The 20,008-nt window shown below is 38.5% G+C and overlaps 1 protein-coding gene and 1 long non-coding RNA gene across 20 annotated transcripts in view; one reads left to right on the plus strand and one right to left on the minus strand.

Annotated features, from left to right (window-relative positions):
- Positions 1 to 20,008, plus strand: part of BDNF-AS (BDNF antisense RNA) — a 191,320-nt gene that overhangs the window by 160,083 nt on the left and 11,229 nt on the right. Inside the window, exons 6-7 of one of the 5 annotated variants that reach the window (NR_033312.1) lie at positions 8,643 to 9,206; positions 10,048 to 10,205. The exons of 1 other annotated variant lie outside the window; for it this stretch is intronic. This is a non-coding gene — a long non-coding RNA (BDNF antisense RNA). Of the gene's footprint in view, positions 1 to 8,362; positions 9,207 to 10,047; positions 10,872 to 20,008 lie in introns of those variants that run through there. 3 more of the 5 variants (NR_002832.2, NR_033315.1, NR_033314.1) reach the window with 3 other exon arrangements.
- BDNF (brain derived neurotrophic factor) overlaps positions 1 to 20,008 on the minus strand; it is a 67,138-nt gene that overhangs the window by 12,042 nt on the left and 35,088 nt on the right. For 2 of the 15 annotated variants that reach the window (NM_001143810.2, NM_001143811.2), the window contains exon 2: positions 7,126 to 7,408. In NM_001143810.2, the coding sequence (NP_001137282.1) occupies positions 7,126 to 7,350 (225 nt within the window). In that variant the 5' untranslated portion in view covers positions 7,351 to 7,408. 15 annotated transcript variants of the gene reach the window in all.

Genomic DNA, 20,008 nt, shown 5'->3' on the forward strand with positions numbered 1-20,008 from the left:
CTCAAGAAGAGTAACTCAAAGACACATAATTGTCAGATTCACCAAAGTTGAAATGAAGGAAAAAACATTAAGTGCAGCGAGAGAGAAAGGGCAGGTTACCCACAAAGGGAAGTCCATCAGACTAACAGCATCTTTCGGCAGAAACTCTACAAGCCAGAAGAGAGTGGGGGCCAATATTCAACATTCTTAAAGAAAAGAATTTTCAACCCAGAATTTCATATCCAGCCAAACTAAGCTTCATAAGTGAAGGAGAAATAAAATCCTTTACAGACAAGCAAATGCTGAGAGATTTTGTCACCACCAGGCCTGCCTTACAAGAGCTCCTGAAGGAAGCACTAAACATGGAAAGGAACAACCAGTACCAGCCACTGCAAAAACATGCCAAATTGTAAAGATCATTGAGGCTAGGAAGAAACTGCATCAACTAACGAGCAAAATAACCAGCTAACATCATAATGACAGGATCAAATTCACACATAACAATATTAACCTTAAATGTAAATGGGCTAAATGCTCCAGTTAAAAGACATGGACTGGCAAATTGGATAAAGAGTCAAGACCCATCAGTGTGCTGTATTCAGCAGACCCATCTCATGTGCAGAGACGCACATAGGCTCAAAATAAAGGGATGGAGGAAGATCTACCAAGGAAATGGAAAGCAAAAAAAAGCAGGAGTTGCAATCCTAGTCTCTGATAAAACAGACTTTAAACCAACAAAGATCAAAAGAGACAAAGAAGGCCATTACATAATGATAAAGGGATCAATTCAACAAGAAGAGCTAACTATCCTAAAAATATATGCACCTAATACAGGAGCACCAGATTCACAAAGCAAGTCCTTAGAGACCTACAAAGAGACTTAGACTCCCACACAATAATAATGGGAGACTTTATCACCCCACGGTCAATATTAGACAGATCAACAAGACAGAAAATTAACAAAGATATCCAGAAATTGAACTCAGCTCTGCACCAAGCGGACCTAATAGACATCTACAGAACTCTCCACTCCAAATCAACAGAATATACATTCTTCTCGGCACCACATCACACTTATTCCAAAAATTGACTACATAGTTGGAAGTAAAGCACTCCTCAGCAAATGTAAAAGAACAGAAATTATAACAAACTGCCTCTCAGACTACAGTGCTTTCAAACTAGAACTCAGGATTAAGAAACTCACTCAGAACCACTCAACTACATGGAAACTGAGCAACCTGCTCCTGAGTGACTACTGGGTACTTAACGAAGTGAAGGCAGAAATAAAGATGTTCTTTGAAACCAATGAGAACAAAGACACAACATACCAGAATCTCTGGGACACATTTAAAGCAGTGTGTAGAGGGAAATTTATAGCACTAAATGCCCACAAGAGAAAGCAGGAAAGATCTAAAATTGACACCCTAACATCACAATTTAGAGAAGCAAGAGCAAACACATTCAAAAGCTAGCAGAAGACAAGAAATAACTAAGATCAGAGTAGAACTGAAGGAGATAGAGACAGAAAAACTCCTTCAAAAAATCAATGAACCCAGGAGCTGGTTTTTTAAAAAGATCAACAAAATTGATAGATCACTAGCAAGACTAATAAAGAAGAAAAGAGAAAAGAATCAAATAGATGCAATAAAAGGTGATAAAGGGGATATCACCACCAATCCCACAGAAATACAAACTACCATCAGAGAACACTATAAACACTTCTATGCAAATAAACTAGAAAACCTAAAAGAAATTTATAAATTCCTGGACACACACACCCTCCCAGGACTAAACCAGGAAGAAGTTGAATCTCTTAATAGACCAATAACAGGCTCTGAAATTGAGGCAATAATTAATAGCCTACCAACCAAAAAAATCCATCAGGACCAGATGGATTCACAGCTGAATTCTACCAGAGGTATAAGGAGGAGCTGGTACCATTCTGAAACTATTCTAATCAATAGAAAAAGAGGGAATCCTCCCTAACTCATTTTATGAGGCCAGCATCATCCTGATACCACAGCCTGACAGAGACACAACAAAAAAAGAGAATTTCAGGCCAATATCCCTGATGAAGATCGATGGAAAAATCCTCAGTAAAATACTGGCAAACCGAATCCAGCAGAACATCAAAAAGCTTATCCACCATGATCAAGTTGGCTTCATCCCTGGGATGCAAGGCTGGTTCAACATATGCAAATCAATAAATATAATCCATCATATAAACAGAATCAAAGACAAAAACCATGATTATCTCAATAGATGCAGAAAAGGCCTTTGACAAAATTCAACAGCCTTTGTGCTAAAAACTCTAAATAAACTAGGTATTGATGGGACATATCTCAAAATAATAAGAGCTATTCACGACAAACCCACAGCCAATGTCATACTGAATGGGCAAAAGCTGGAAGCATTCCCTTTGAAAACTGGCACAAAACAAGGATGTCCTCTGTCACCACTCCTATTCAACATAGTATTGGACGTTCTAGCCAGGGCAATCAGGCAATAGAAAGAAATAAAGGATATTCAAATAGGAAGAGAGGAAGTCAAATTGTCTCTGTTTGCAGATGACATGATTGTATATTTAGAAAACCCCATCATCTCAGCCCAAAATCTCCTTAAGCTGATAAGCAACTTCAGCAAAGTCTCAGGATACAAAATCAATGTGCAAAAATCACAAGCATTCCTATACACCAATAACAGACAAACAGAGAGCCAAATCATGAGTGAACTCCCATTCACAATTGTTTCAAAGAGAATAAAATACTTAGGAATCCAACTTACAAGGGATGTGGAAGACCTCTTCAAGGAGAACTACAAACCACTGCTCAAGGAAATAAAAGAGGACGCAAACAAATGGAAGAACATTCCATTCTCATGGGTAGGAAGAATCAATATCATGAAAATGGCCATACTACCCAAGGTAATTTATAGATTCAATGCCATCCCCATCAAGCTACCAATGACTTTCTCCACAGAATTGGAAAAAAACTACTTTAAAGTTCATATGGAACCAAAAAAGAGCCCGCATCGCCAAGACAATCCTAAACCAAAAGAACAAAGCTGGAGGCATCACGCTACCTGACTTCAAACTATATTACAAGGCTACAGTAACCAAAACAGCATGGTACTGGTACCAAAACAGAGATATAGACCAATGGAACAGAACAGAGCCCTCAGAAACAATACCACACATCTACAACCATCTGATCTTTGACAAACCTGACAAAAACAAGAAATGGGGAAAGGATTCTCTATTTAATAAATGGTGCTGGGAAAACTGGCTAGCCATATGTAGAAAGCTGAAACTGGATCCCTTCTTTACACCTTATACAAAAATTAATTCAAGATGAATTAAAGACTTACACGTTAGACCTAAAACCATAAAAACCCTAGAAGAAAACCTAGGCAATACCATTCAGGACATAGGCATGGACAAGGACTTCATGACTAAAACACCAAAAGCAATGGCAACAAAAGCCAAAATTGACAAATGGGATCTAATTAAACTAAAGAGCTTCTGCACAGCAAAAGAAACTACCATCAGAGTGAATAGGAAACCTACGGAATGGGAGAAAATTTTTACAATCTACCCATCTGACAAAGGGCTAATATCCAGAATCTAAAAGAACTTAAACAAATTTACAAGAAAAAATCAAATGACCCCATCAAAAAGTGGGTGAAGGATATGAACAGACACTTCTCAAAAGAAGACATTTATGTAGCCAAAAGACACATGAAAAAATGCTCATCATCACTGGCCATCAGAGAAATGCAAATCAAAACCACAATGAGATACCATCTCACACCAGTTAGAATGGCGATCATTAAAGTCCGGAAACAACAGGTGCTGGAAAGGATGTAGAGAAATAGGAACACTTTTACACTGTTGATGGGACTGTAAACTAGTTCAAACATTGTGGAAGACAGTGTGGCGATTCCTCTAGGATCTAGAACTAGAAATACCATTTGAGCCAGCCATCCCATTACTGGGTATATACCCAGAGGATTATAAATCATGCTACTATAAAGACACATGCACACGTATGTTTATTGCGGCACTATTTACAATAGCAAATACTTGGAGCCAACCAAATGTCCATCAGTGAGCAAGGACATCATTCTGAGCAAACTATCGCAAGGACAGAAAACCAAACACCGCATGTTCTCACTCATAGGTGGGAACTGAACAATGAGAACACTTGGACACAGGGTGGGGAACATCACACACTGGGACCTGTCATGGAGTAGGGGTAGGGGGGAGGGATAGCATTAGGAGATATACCTAATGTAAATGACGAGTTAATGGGTGCAGCACACCAACATGGCACATGTATACATATGTAACAAACCTGCAGGTTGTGCACATGTACCCTAGAACTTAAAGTATAATTAAAAAAAAAAAGAACCTGGAGAAATTATCAAGTAAGCATCATATTTAATGAATTTATGGTGAAATCATGTGGGAAAAATTTTTCTGTACAGGGATGATGACTCTGGAAATGGTGGAGAGAGAGACAGAAAAACAAATGTCACTGTAACACAGGTATTTAAATTGTATTTAAATACACAGACTTTTGAATTTATAGAAAATTTTCAAGTATGAAATTGATTTCATGCAACCTAAAGTCTCAAACTTCAAATAATTTTTTGTGTTAAATTTATAAATTGTGTATTAATGCAATTCAAATTTATTCCTAAAAATATTTTAACTAAAGGAGAAATTCCTGGGGCCTGAGATTAGAGTTTTAGGAAATGTACATATGGGATAAACTTACACAGGCTGAAATTAAGTGAAACCTTACTTCTCAATGTTGAGATGGATTAGCCATTTTAACATAAAGTAGAAACTTCTAAGAAATGCAGAATCTCAACTTCCCCACCCTCATTCCACCTACCCCACCCACTCAATCAGATCCTGCATTTCAATAAGATTTATTTAGTGCAATAACTTTTTTACTTATCAAAGTTGAGAAGCACAGGACTAAATGATAAAGAGAAAAGAGGCTGCTTAGGATAAGGAAATAAAAGGTTGAAGTTAACTTAAGTATTATGATACTTTCTTAGCGTGTCATACGGTTACCTGTCATCTTTCCTCTTTGGTTCAACTTGTTTTATGGGGACATTTATGTGGGAAAATATCTTTGCTTTTGTAATTTATGTGGGAAAATATCTTTGCTTTTGTGTTTTTACTTAAGTAAAATCTGGGCTCCTTTTATGTCAACTAGCTTTTCCACTATTGTTATTATGATAGAAAGTACAGGCTACTTATAAACATGATTAGTTCAATGAGAACTTTTAGAATATTGCTGACCTAAATCTGGACATCTACACAATCATTAATTCTTACCAAAATGCTACAAGGCAATATAAGCATAATTAGCCTCCCTGATCCCTGAACATAGCCTAATATCACTCACTCAATCAGAATCATACTGGAAACGATATGACCAACTATGGCAGGTAGTAGATGTCCAGTCACACTAGTATTGCTTTCAGCCAGATGTCTCTGGTCCTTGTGAGTTCCTTTCGTCCTTAATGGTGAAATAGCAACAGAGGGAACCAACTCACTCACTCAAGGCAGATTTCTTATTTCTAGACTTGTCCTGAAACCAACAGATCCAGCTCTCTCCTACCAAATACCATGAAATTTAAACAAACGAAACTCGCAAAATAATACAGCAGCAGCAGCAACAACAACAATGAAATATTAAAATAGTAAATATAAGTATCAAACATCAAAACCCCCTCTCCAACCAAAATCTCTCTTCTTCGATAAAGTTCCCAGGAGGTAACCCAATTTCTAGGTTGGTGTCCAATATTTGGGATCATTTGATTCAAGACTGAAGTACTTAAAATGGCTTTTAAAAAAGGAAAAAAGGTTAGATTTCCAGAGAAAAGTGTAACATTTTTTAAGTTGAACATTATGAGGGATTTGATGGGGGCAGCTTTGCAAGTAGAACTGGAGACTGGTCCACTGTTCAGGCTTTTTACGAAAGACTGCAAAGGTTGTTTGTTTCCAAACACCAAGAAGTCACCAAGTTCACCAGTCCAAATGCAAATGACTCACACTAGGAACCCTAATAGTGCTGCTGTTAAGTCATTTGCAAATGGGTGGGGCTGAGATGACACAGAACCCTATTTTCCCAGGTGGCATCTTAAGTATGGTTGATTCTACCTTCAGCCCCACATTTAAAAGTACAGTGTAAACACAGCTAAGGGACCGCCTCCTTCAAATTACACACAAGGCACACCTACTAATAGGAGATGTTGTGAAAGCCAGGTGGGGCTTTGTCTTTCAAGTCCCTGCATCCAAGAATAAGCATGCTGTGTACAAAAAAAAAAAAAAAAGCAAGGGTGATGCAACTGCATTCATTGTCCCTAAAGGGAGAACATGCAATAATTCTCAGATCCAAGGATAAAGGGAATCCCCCTTTAAGAAAAGATGTTGGCATTATGTGGGGATTGGGAACATGCCAGAACAATCACACATTTTTACAAGAGAGAGAAAGAGAAAAAAAGTTAAGACCCATTTGTCTTATTTCAGTCTCTTTCTTCAGAATTGACGACTTTAATCAACAGGTCACTTTCAGAGTATTGCTGGACACCTTGACTTTCTGCCATGAAATGCTATGGGAATTCTGGCAGTTGAGAGCCAACACCCCACTAGACACCAGTGCTGCATAACCACACTTTTAATAGACCCCAGAGCTGTGGTGACAGCATGCCCTTCCCAGTTTTTCCACAGACGGTGCTCCTGAAATTTTCCATAGACAGTGTATTCTTGTGGTTAATTAGTTATCTGAGCAATTTCCATTATAGAAAGAGTATCTGTACATAATTAAACCCATCTTAGGACCAAACTGCCGGGCTTCAATGTCATTAATTCAGAAGGGCTAAAATGAAAATGAGATGAATAATTCTCACCTGATGAAGGGACCGCACTAGATTAGATCCTATCCTCTGAAATACATAGAGCATTAAATTTAAAAAAACAAGAGAGATGAAAACAGGTGATGGAAGAAACTGGAAAGGTAAGTTGCCTCTAGAGACCAAAGAATAACACTCCTTTTCAAACTATTATCAAGAAATCTTGGGGGAAAGATAAAATTAGCAAGAGAAGGCTATTAGCTCTCTGTTACTCACCTTTATGAAACCATTTTCAGGGATCAGTTTGTTAAATTCCACTGAAACGTGGAGGTACACAGCACAGCCCTTCTTCTGGGATGCACAGTCATGCCATACAGAAGCGTGTGGGTAGACGCCAAAACATGTGTGGACCTGCAACCCTTTCTGTAGAAACTCAGCATTCTGAGTAGTAACAAGGATTAACCTTGTGCACTCATGGAGAAAACTGGTGGCTCCACACATCCAGTTGTCCTTCGGGTTATTTTTGCATCCCACTCTATAATTTCTTTTAATTACTTAACTGTAAAGCACAGGAAAGTGCTCATTACTTGTAGCTTAATGCAGGAGGAAATATAATTGAATATGTTCTCCTAGCCACTGCTCTACCCCAGCTCCCAGCTCTTCTGAAGTGTCACGGTTCATTTCAACAGCACGAGTAAGGCAGTTTCCAGGCCCTGTGCATAATGAGCCATGTGGACCCTATTCAAGAAACTGGCTGTACTCCAGAACTACTATAAAATATAAGGAAAATATTAACATCTTAGATGACAAAAGATCCATATGGCTGGCCAGAAAATATCTGCATCATTTAAGCCATTAGAATGCACCTATATGGAAACATTCAATTTGGCGGTACTGTGAACAACAGGACTGTGAAAACATCTGTTTATCTCCACCCGTTTTCACTAAACACTGATTCCTATAGAAGACATGCAAACTCAAATACCAACATATTTCATCTAAGCATAGGACAGGGACTCCATTTTTACATAGTTGCTATAATAAATACAATACAGTATTTGTTGGTGATAGGATTTTGGAAGATGCTCTGGATAGCTGGAAAAATAAGTAAAATGTTTCTCTTTGTATTAAACTTGATAAAAAATAATAGCTAACATTTATTAATGGTGAGGTAAATAATTTGATTATCCACCATTTATAGCTGAGGAAACTGAGGCCCAGAGAGTTTCGGTGGATTCCCTAAGATCACATACCCATTATGTGGTGGAGAGGGAATATGAACCAGTGCTGGCTTGCTATGCCTCTTTCCATATGGGGTCAGACATAGATGTGGTGTCTTATAATGTGAGGGAGGTCTACTTGGCAGAAATATCCTGCAGACCCTATATGCCAGTTTCTTATTTATTTAAACAAAGCCCCATATGAGCATTTCTGATAAGCAGTTTGTTTACACACTAATTCCACAGAGGTTAAATATAACCCTAATGTTTCTTTGTTGCTACTCTGTTTCCAGTATTGAATTATTACCACAAGGTACCAACCATATATGCATACTTAATAGGGTATTTTGTCAAAACTATGCATGAAGGTCATTTGTTTGAGATGTCAGAACATTTTCCCGTGAGAAGATCTCATTGGGCATTGAAACAGAACCACATGCTCTTCAGACCAGCAACCGCGACTACCAAATACTCCTCTGTCAACTCTACTTGAGTAAGAACGCTTTCAATTAAGGCCTAAGTGTCAACATGCCTTTAAAAAAAATCGTGGTGACACAAAATCTTTCTTTTTAGCACCCAACAGAATCCCTTCAAAGCCTCGTGGTCTGACACCCTATGCTACGTGACTTGTGACCCATCCATTTGTCATGTTCTTCGGGAATGTGGCTAAGGGGCTAAGATGTGACTTGAAAAGAAAGGTAGAACAAGATCATCTCAAATTTATTATCAAGGAATAGTTCAGAAAACGACTTCAGACCACAGAGACAGCAGAACAGATGGTCCGGCATGGATAGAGCATCAGACACTCACAGACTGTGCCAACAAGAGCCATCGAGTCAAAACAGCCAAAGGAAGGAGGGTCATGGAATGGGTTCTCTCACACCAAACTGATGCCCAGAGGCCCTCAGCATGAATAACAAAGGCAACCAGACCCACAAGCCATACTGAGTGGATACAAAACCTATACCTAGGCTGACATCCCAAATGTGTGTGGCAAGTTAGATGATGATGGCACAAAAGACAGAACACCTTGCTTCTGGCCATTGTCAGCTCTTGGAAGAGAGCACACTTTTAGAGGAGCAGCTGCAAGGAGCCTGAGAACAAAACTGGAAATGTCTGTTATGAAAGCCTTCACAGGTATTATTAACAAAAGAAAATGTCTATTTGTCAATGGTGTTTCAGCTAGATTTTGGCAGTCCATTCTTATGCCCAGGAATGACCTCTTGTGTAGACTGGATACAGTCATCAATGCAACTGTCCAGGTGCAACTCTTCTATAAAGGGGAAGAGGAGTGACTTTCCCCTATACAGTGGCCCTGTCAAAATTCTATAAAAAATATTGTCCATTTAAATTAAATAACCACTGTGCCCGGCTCCATTTACCACACTTTTCTATGCAGTGGAACTGAAGGGGATTTTTTTTTTTGCTGTCCTCAGAGAAAAATAAGACTAAGAATCAACCTTTCTAATGAGAATGGTAAGGAGTTATGTGGGGATGACCTGGAATATATGCTGCTCAAATGGTGGAGATGTTATCTAGGCCGTAAATCATGGCATTTTTATATGATCCCCTATTTGCCTAATGCAGGAAACCACTTGGCAACTTTAAGGAAAAAGTCTAGCAATAATGCATCATAGTTCAATGTTTATATTGTACTTGGACAGTTTAAATTTATCTTATAAAGTACTAATTATTTAATTACAAATGTTGAGTAAGTGTAAAATCATTCCTCAAAAAAGCATCCCTTGAGTATGAAAGTTCCAAGCTTAGCAAGACATCCCTGTGATTTGGGATACATCTCTTGAACTCAGTCCTGAAAATAATGTTAATAGCTGAGAAAAGAGCATTGAAAGCCTTATACACAGTGTGTTGTAGTGAAACAATTTTCTTTTTGGTTCTAAAAAACACTGTTGTGCTCTTTAGATCCAGCATGGCTAGTTAGATGAATAATGAATGCATGTTCAACTTTCTGCTACAGGAAATTCTGCAAGTGGCAACGTGGGTCCATTCCGTGTGTGTCACTAGAGCTGGCGCAAGCCCATGGCCATGGTGAGGCAGCGTTTCCACTGGAACTAATCTGATACCTGCACCAGCTCTTGCAACTGTGCAGTGTTCCCACTGCAAACTACGGATGGGGTAAAAGACTGCTCACCTCCTATTTCTCATCTAATCTCACACACTCTGTTTGATGAGGCTATGGAGAAACAGGTCTTCTCATACACTAAAGGTGGGAGTACAAACAATTCAAGCCCTGTGCAGGACAATTAGGCAATACCTATCAAAATTATACATGATTTTTCCTGCTGACCCAGCAATTCCACTTCTGGGAATAATTGACAGATATAGGTGCATATGTACAAAATGATGGAAAGCTCTCTGGTATATATTAGTAAGTGATAAAACAAGGTGTAAAATAGTGTATATATGGCTACTACCTTTTGTTTTAAAAATGGGGGAAAATGGTGGAGCTTGCGGTGAGCCGAGATCGTGCCACTGCACTCCAGCCTGGGCGACAGAGCGAGACTCCGTCTCAAAAAAAAAACAGGGTGGGGTGGGGGGGAAATAATAGTACATACTCATATTTACCTGTATCTATATAAAACACACTATCAAGGATTCACAAGAAACTAATACAAATGATCACCTTATAGATGGTATGTATTGGGGGATACTGAGGTGAGCAGGGTATAAGTGGGGCAAGACTTTTCAGTGTAAACTTCTTTTAAATTTTATTTTGATTTTTGAATAATGTAAATTAACTGTCAAATAATTAAATTAAAAATAACCAATTTATTAACAAAACATTTAATCTAGTGGCTTTACTTTTGACACAAGACAATCTCCAAATCTCCACCAATCACCAAAAACAGAGATTTACACCAGTTCCTTTGCTTGTTTTTCCTGGTAATGACTACAATTAAGAAGTCCTGTGGGTGCCATCTCAGTTTTGGAGATATTTCCCTAGAAGAAACTGATTCAAGGTGGGACAATTGGGTATAGAGAATAGTCCCTGGGACCGGGGGCTGAAGTCCTGAATTCTGGTCCTGCCTAACTCCCACTTTCTATTAAGCTGACCCTGTGAAACGGCTGATACATGACCATTTTTTACCAACAAATTAGACAAATTCATGGGTGATCAAATTCAAAAACCCTGTTGCCTTACCACTGTAATATGATGAGGACACGTATACACACCCTGCCTAACTCACAGCATCACACCAGGGATTGTCAACATATGGGAAAGAGCTTTGTACATTGTAAAGGTCAACCCTACAAACAGCAGCTGTGAAACACAACACAACCCTGAGGGGGTGGCCATGGCCAAACATAGGAGGGGAAAAGGACCCAGTCTCAAAAGCATCTGAGATACTGAGATAGTGCAGAGGAATGAAATCTTCCAAAAGATGGAATCTAAACATAAACAGACATCAAGAGCGGGCTGACTTGCAGTGGAAGATGTGGTTAAATGACTCCACATGTGGTCATCTGCCATTGCATACACTGCAAATTCTGTGAAGCCTACTAAGGGAAATTAGGGAGATGTAACTGGGAGCGCACTGTAAAGATACTGATACGAACACGAATGTGAGATCAATGTTGAATGATGGACCCAAAAGGATGGCTCTTAGTCCTTGTGAACATATAGTTGTTGGAGACATGTGTCTGTCATACACAGATAGGCCTCCAACTCACCTCTGAAATCAGATGCAAACTTCAAATACTTTTGAAAAGTCTCCCTAGAGGACCTTTTACCCCCAAATGTAGAGACTAAATGAAAAACCATTCTTTAAAAGGGGTTAAAAAAAACACTCAAAAAACTTCTCCTTTCCACATGTATAGTCATCTGGAAAACAGATCTCCCATTAAACGGATGGTCAAAGCTGTATCACAACATTAAACTAAGCACAAAAATTCAAGACTTCCCTTCCTCACCCTCCTAAAACGAAACATTCCAATAGGCTAGAAATAACCTCATGAGGAAGTTCATTGAAGGTACTCCCACTTGGCACTACTATCCAGACACTGGGTTAGGAAACTAGTTACTTGGAACTCAGAAAAAATAAGAACTATTTTGATTAGGCAAGGCCCCTGTGCAAGGTGCCTAGTTCCAGCTGGGTCTCAGTAGTCTGATGGGTGTCATGCACTCCTGGACCTCCTCTTAATGAAACAAGGGACCTTGACTTTGGGCCCCATGTTGAGAAGCTCTGAAGCCAAATATAATGGTCAAATATAATGTCCTCTCACTTCTAGCTTCATAGCAGACCATGTTTCCATATAGAAATTTCTCTAGGAGGCTTACTATCCTATGTTATCTCAAGCCGAGGCCTCCTCTTACACAAGAGGCTTAAACTGCCCGTAAGTAAGAATTAAAGATATGTTACATTTTTTATGAATTAGTCATTTATTCATTCAGCAAAGGTTATTAAGAAGGTACTGAGTTTGGATGTACTTTGCTTTAGGAAAATCATTTTCAAGGTTGCTTCATGCAAAGTGGGAATAATTAACTTGGTAACTCAATAGACTTGCTAAGTGATTGCCCCAAGTTTAAACTGTCACTGATTTGCAAGTATGACATGAAAACCAGAGACCCAAGGAGGTGGGCACATTCCCACCTGTCAATAGCCCTCAAGAGAAGTGCTTCAGTATTACCCCAAATGGCCAACTTTGCATGGTTAATCATTTAGTTAGAGGCTCACAAGATCAAAAACAATTCTTAAAAAACTATTTATGTGAACAAAGGGACAATGAGCTGACACCTTCAAGGTGCACGTCAGGGGCACAATACAAGTTCCTGTTTCACCAGCAGAGCTCTGGTCGCTCAGTTGAAGCTGAAAGTCAGAACCAGCTGTGTTTCTGTCATTCCCTCATATGAAAAGAACTCAGCTGTAGACCTTTACTCCATGAGAAAACATTTTTTAAAAACCCACAAATAATTTTTAGGTTTCATTTTTGCCTCTGCTTTCTCCAGAGCTACAAAGGTCACCCAAATTTCTGTGGCGAGGTTATTTAGGAGAGCCTTTCTTTTGGATGTCAACTTGTCAAACTTGCAGTTTAGATGAGTGTGATGTAGTCTCCTAAAATTTACTTTTGCACTATTTTTTCAAATAATAGATATTCTCTGAGCACAGGCACTGAGGACATCAAAATGAATGAGACTGAATTTCTGCCCTTGGGGACTGCAGTGTTAAGGGTGGGTTAGACCCAAAAACCAACAATACAGTGCAATGTGGTACATGCTGTAACTAACATGCACAAAGGGCATTCCCAAAAAAGAGAATGAAAAGAGGGAGGAAGGTGGCAAAGGAGAAAGGCCTTTGGCCCAAGTTTTTGTTCAATAAAGATCATATTTTGTAGATCAAAAGATTATATGATCTGCTAACCCCTTAGCATGTATAGCTCATGAAGCAAGACAAAGTACCCATGAAGAGTTCAACATTAGCGAGCCTCTGGGGCAAGTAAGTTGGAAATCATAACCCATTTATGGATACCTGCCTAGAACTGATTTCCTATTCAGAGTGCCTTCCTAGCTGATAAGAACAATACTGAAATCTTTCTTTTCCATGAGGGAAAAACATGTTGAATCATTTAGCAAGTACCTACAGAGCCACCTACTATGTATGTGCCCAGCAGTCTACTGTGTGCTATCAGGAGTAAGAAAATGTAGAAATATTCTTGCTTTTAAAGGGTTTACAATCTAATTGTAGAAATAATACTAAAATACATGAGAGGAAAGAAAAGCAAACTTAGCTTCTCTGGGATAAGGACTATATCTCATGCAACTTTTAAAAAGTTACCATTTATTCAACTTCCTACCACCATTACATACTTCTGGTAATCAATTATCTTCCTTCTCCCCTTGGGATTTTGAATTGGGAACAGAATAGAAATAAGTTGCCAAATAAGAATCAAAATACAGGGTCAGCCTCAATTTCAGTGCAAGTGGTCCATTGCTTTGGTTCACAGGCTCTACAGTCCAGAAGATGAAAGATTAAGGATTTCATCCATCAGATTAACCTCTCCTCTTTTCACAGAAAGAACAAGTAATGGGGATAAGAGAAGGGCCTAGAATATTCCCCTGAAAGTGTTACTTATTAGGAAGCAAGTTCCCTTGTGGAAACACAAGGATGGGGGAAAGGGATTTCCCTCAACATTGTTCTATCTACACACAGAGAATTCAAGTAACTTGCCCAAAATCACAGAGCTAGTAAGTGGTGAGGCTTAAATCAAACTTGATCATCAGGTCCAGGAACACAGGTACAGGCTGGGGCTGCCTCATGAAGTGTCTGTTTAGGAAATGTGTCTTTAAAGTCAACAGACTGTCCTGAGTAGGACATTCTAGAACATTTTTCTAGACAAAAACATCATATCTACAACTTCCAGCCTAGAATCTGATACAGCAAAGACACACAATAATGTTTTGTTATATAAGTGCATATACAATTAATTACCAAATTATGAGGTACAGACCACCTAGGAACTCAGATAGGGCAGGTTTATTATTATGGGCAAGAGTCTTTCTAGAAACAGGATTCCAGCTAGGTCTTGAAGAATGAGTAGAATTCAGATGAATAAACAGCAGAAAAAATCATTAATAAACACATGAGACTCAGAGAATTACAACAAAACAGTTTTAGTCTTGTAAACTTTGCTATAAAGTGAAGCATATTTAGGTATGAAGCATGCTGATTAAACTTTTTATTGTCTTAATACAAGTCTAAAAAAAGTATCTTTTTGGGGGAGCTGGAAAGTACTAAAAATAAAAACAGTGGCTGAAATTCATTAAGCATTTACTATGCCAAGCACTGCTCTAAGCACTTCACAGACACTAACACATTTAATCCCTACCAATACCCTGTTGAGAGGTTGAGATACAGAGAATTTAAATTACTGACCCAAGGTCATAGACCTAGTAAGTGTTAGGCCTGGAGTCAAACTCGATCCTCCTCTGGCTCAGGAATATTGTTCCAGGCCTTTGCTCTCACCTGGAAGTTTCTAATTAGAAAATTTATTTCAAGTCAGAATAAAATCTTCAGCAGTTCTCTCATCTCAAAATGTCTGAATTTCTGATTATTTACAAGGCTGCAAATCCCTTCTAGCCACGCTCTAATGCAAGTACTTGGATAGTGAAATAAACGATAAGTCTCTCTAAATCACAGGATATTCAGTTTATTTGATTTTAGTTCAGCGATTCTTAAACTGTCCCATACATCCAAACCATCTGTAGAAGTTTCTAAACCCAACATAGGCCCAGGGACCCAATACCAAACTTACAAATCTTGGAGACTAAGATCTCATATGTATATATATTTTAAAGATTCAAGGGTAATTCTGATGCTGAATGTGTTTGAGAATCACTGCTGTATGCTGCATTCTATTTTATTGTATTTCTTTTATTATTATTATTATAATAATAATAATAATACTTTTAAGTTCTGGGGTACATGTGCAGAACGTGCAGGTTTGTTACCTAGGTATACAGATGCCATGGTGGTTTGCTGCACTCATCAACTTGTCATCTACATTAGGTATTTCTCCTAATGCTATCCCTCCCCTAGCCTCCTACACCCTGACAGGCCCCAGTGTGTGATGTTCTCCTCCCAGTGTCCATGTGTTCTCACTGTTCAACTCCCACTTATGAGTGAGAACATGTGGTGTTTGGTTTTCTGTTCCTGTGTTACCTTGCCAAGAATGATGGTTTCCAGCTTCATCCATGTCCCTGCAAAGGACATGAACTCATCCTTTTTTATGGCTGCATAGTATTCCATGGTGTATGTGTGTCACATTTTCTTTATCCAGTCTATCATTGATGGGCATTCGGATTGGTTCCAAGTCTTTGCTATTGTGAATAGTGCCACAATAAACATACATGTGCATGTGTCTTTATAGTAGCATGATTTATAATCCTTTGAGTATATACCCAGTAATGGGATGGCTGGGTCAAAAGATATTTCTGGTTCTAGATCCTTGAGGAATCACCACACTGTCTTCCACAATGGTTGAACTAATTTACACTCCCACCAACAGTGTAAAAGTGTTCCTATTTCTCTACATCCTCTCCTGCATCTGTTGTTTCCTGACTTTTTAATGATCGCCATTCTAACTGGCATAAGATGGTATCTCACTGTGGTTTTGATTTGCATTTCTCTAATGACCAGTGATGATGAGCTTTTCTTCGTATGTTTGTTGGCAGCATAAATTTCTTCTTTTGAGAAGCATCTGTTCATACCCTTCGCCCACTTTTTGATGGGGTTGTTTTTTTTCTTGTAAACTTGTTTAGGTTCCTTGTAGATTCTGGATATTAGCCTTTTGTCAGATGGATACGTTGCAAAAAATTTCACCCATTCTGTCGGTTGCCTGTTCACTCTGATGTTAGTTTCTTTTGCTGTGCAGAAGCTCTTTAGTTTAATTAGATCCCATTTGTCAATTTTGGCTTTTGTTGCCATTGCTTTTGGTATTTTAGTCATGAAGTCTTTGCCATGCCTATGTCCTGAATGGTATTGCCTAGGTTTTCTTCTAGGGTTTTTATGGTTTTATGTTTTATGTTTAAGTCTTTAATCCATCTTGAGTTAATTTTTGTATAACGTGTAAGGAAGGGGTCCAGTTTCAGTTTTCTGCAAATGGCTAGCCAGTTTTCCCGACACCATTTATTAAATAGGGAATCCTTTCTGCATTGCTTGTTTTTGTCATGTTTGTCAAAGATCAGATGGTTGTAGATGTGTGGCGTTATTTCTGAGGCCTCTGTTCTGTTCCATTGGTCTATCTATCTGTTTATGTACCAGTACCATGATGTTTTGGTTACTGTAGCCTTGTAGTATAGTTTGAAGTCAGGTAGCATGATGCCTCCAGCTTGTTCATTTTGCTTAGGATTGTCTTGGCTATACGGGCTGTTTTTTGGTTCCATATGAAATTTAAAGTAGTTTTTTCTAATTCTATGAAGAAAGTCAATGGTAGCTTGATGGGGATAGCATTGGATCTATAAATTACTTTGGGCAGTATGGCCATTTTCACGATATTGATTCTTCCTATCCATGAGAATGGAATGTTCTTCCATTTGTTTGTGTCCTCTCTTATTTCATTGAGCAGTGGTTTGTAGTTCTCTTTAAAGAGGTCCTTCACATCCCTTGTAAGTTGTATTCCTAGGCATTTTATTCTCTTTGTAGCAATTGTGAATGGGAGTTCACTCATGACTTGGCTGTTTGTCATTATTGGTGTATAGGAATGCTCGTGATTTTTGCACATTGATTTTGTATCCTGAGACTTTGCTGAAGTTGCTTATCAGCTTAAGGAGATTTTGGGCTGAGATGATGGGGTTTTCTAAATATACAATCATGTCATCTGCAAACAGAGACAATTTGACTTCCTCTCTTCCTATTTGAATATGCTTTATTTCTTTCTATTGCCTGATTGCCCTGGCTAGAACGTCCAATACTATGTTGAATAGGAGTGGTGACAGAGGGCATCCTTGTTTTGTGCCGGTTTTCAAATGAATGCTTCCAGCTTTTGCCCATTCAGTATGATATTGGCTGTGGGTTTCTCATAAATAGCTCTTATTATTTTGAGATATGTTCCATCAATACCTAGTTTATTGAGAGTTTTTAGCATGAAGGGCTGTTGAATTTTATGAAAGGCCTTTTCTGCATCTATTGAAATAATCATGTGGTTTTTGTCATTGGTTCTCTTTATGTGATGGATTATCTTTATTGATTTGCATATGTTGAACCAGCCTTGCATCCCAGGGATGAAGCCAAATTATCATGGTAGATAAGCTTTTTGATGTGCTGCTGGATTCAGTTTACCAGTTTTTTATTGAAGATTTTTGCATCAATGTTCATCAGGGATATTGGCCTACAATTTTATTTTTTTGCTGTGTCTCTGCCAGGTTTTTGTATCAGGATGATGCCGGACTCATAAAATGAGTTAGGGAGGATTCCCTCCTTTTCTATTGATTGGAATAGTTTCAGAAGGAATGGTACCAGCTCTTCTTTGTACTTCTGGTAGAATTCAGCTGTGAATCCGTCTGGTCCTGGGCTTTTTTTGGTTGGTAGGCTGTTAATTACTGCCTCGATTTCAGAACTTATTATTGGTCTATTCAGGAATTTGACTTCTTCCTTTAGTCTTAGGAGGGTGTATGTGTCCAGGAATTTATTCATTTCTTCTAGATTTTCTAGTTTATTTGCATAGAGGTGTTTATAGTGTTCTCTGATGGTAGATTGTATTTTTGTGGGATCAGTGGTGATATCCTCTTTATCATCTTTTATTGCGTCTATTTGATTCTTCTCTCTTTTCTTCTTTATCAATCTGGCTAGCATTCTATCTATTTTGTTAATCTTTTCAAAAAACCAGCTTCTGGATTCACTGATTTTTTTGAAGGGTTTTTTGTGTCTCTAATCTCCTTCAGTTCTGCTCTGATCTTAGTTATTTCTTGTCTTCTGCTAGCTTTTGAATGTGTTTGCTCTTGCTTCTCTAGTTCCTTTAATTGTGATGTTAGAGTGTTGATTTTAGCTCTTTCCTGCTTTCTCCTGTGGGCATTTATTGCTATGAATTTCCCCTAAACACTGTTTTAGCTGTGTCCCAGAGATTCTGGTATGTTGTATCTTTATTCTCATTGGTCTCAAATAATGTATTTATTTCTGCCTTCTTTTTGTTATTTACTCAGTAGTCATTCAGGAGCAGGTTGTTCAGTTTCCACTGTAGTTGTATGGTTTTGAGTTAGTTTCTTAATCCTGAGTTCTAATTTAATTGCACTTTGGTCTGAGAGACTGTTTGTTATGATTTCCATTCTTTTGCATTTGCTGAGGAGTGTTTTACTTCCAATTATGTGGTCAATTTTAGAATAAGTGTGATGTGGTGCTGAGAAGAATGTATATTCTGTTGATATGGGGTGGAGAGTTCTGTAGATGTCTATTAGTTCCACTGGGTCCAGAGCTGAGTTCAAATCCTGAATATGCTTGTTAATTTTCTGTCTCGTTGACCTAATATTGACATTGGGGTGTTAAAGTCTCACACTATTATTGTGTGGGAGTCTTGGTCTCTTTGTGGGTCTCTAAGAACTTGCTTTATGAATCTGGGTGCTCCTGTATTGGGTGCATATATGTTTAGGATAGTTAGCTCTTCTTGTTGAATTGATCCCTTTATCATTATGTAATGGCCTTCTTTGTCTCTTTTGATCTTTGTTGGTTTAAAGTCTGTTTTATCAGAGACTAGGATTGCAACCCCTGCTTTTTTTTTGCTTTCCATTTGCTTGGTAGATCTTCCTCCATCCCTTTATTTTCAGCCTATGTGTGTCTTTGCATGTGAGATGGGTCTCCAGAACACAGCACACTGATGGGTCTTGACTCTTTATCCAATTTGCCAGTCTGTGGTCTTTTAATTGGGGCATTTAGCCCATTTATATTTAAGGTTAATATTGTTATGTGTGAATTTGATCCTGTCATTATGATGTTAGCTGGTTATTTTGCCCATTAGTTGATGCAGTTTCTTCATAGTTTCAATGGTCTTTACAATTTGGTATGTTTCTGCAGTGGCTGGTACCGGTTTTTCCTTTCCTTATTTAGTACTTCCTTCAGGAGCTCTTGTAAGGCATGCCTGGTGGTGACAAAATCTCTCAGCATTTGCTCGTCTGTAAAGGATTTTATTTCTACTTCACTTCTGAAGCTTAGTTGGCTGGATATGAAATTCTGGGTTGAAAATTCTTTTCTTTAAGAATGTTGAATATTGGCCCCCACTCTCTTCTGGCTTGTAGGCTTGTAGGGTTTCTGCTGAGAGATCCACTGTTAGTCTGATGGGCTTCCCTTTTTGGGTAACCCGACCTTTCTCTCTCGCTGCCCTTAACTTTTTTTCCTGCATTTCAACCTTGGTGAATCTGACAATTACATGTCTTGGGTTTGCTCTTCTTGAGGGGTATCTTTGTGGTGTTCTCTGTATTTCCTGAATTTGAA

This window comes from Homo sapiens, chromosome 11 (assembly GCF_000001405.40).
Source record: "Homo sapiens chromosome 11, GRCh38.p14 Primary Assembly".
Classification (NCBI taxonomy): domain Eukaryota; kingdom Metazoa; phylum Chordata; class Mammalia; order Primates; family Hominidae; genus Homo; species Homo sapiens.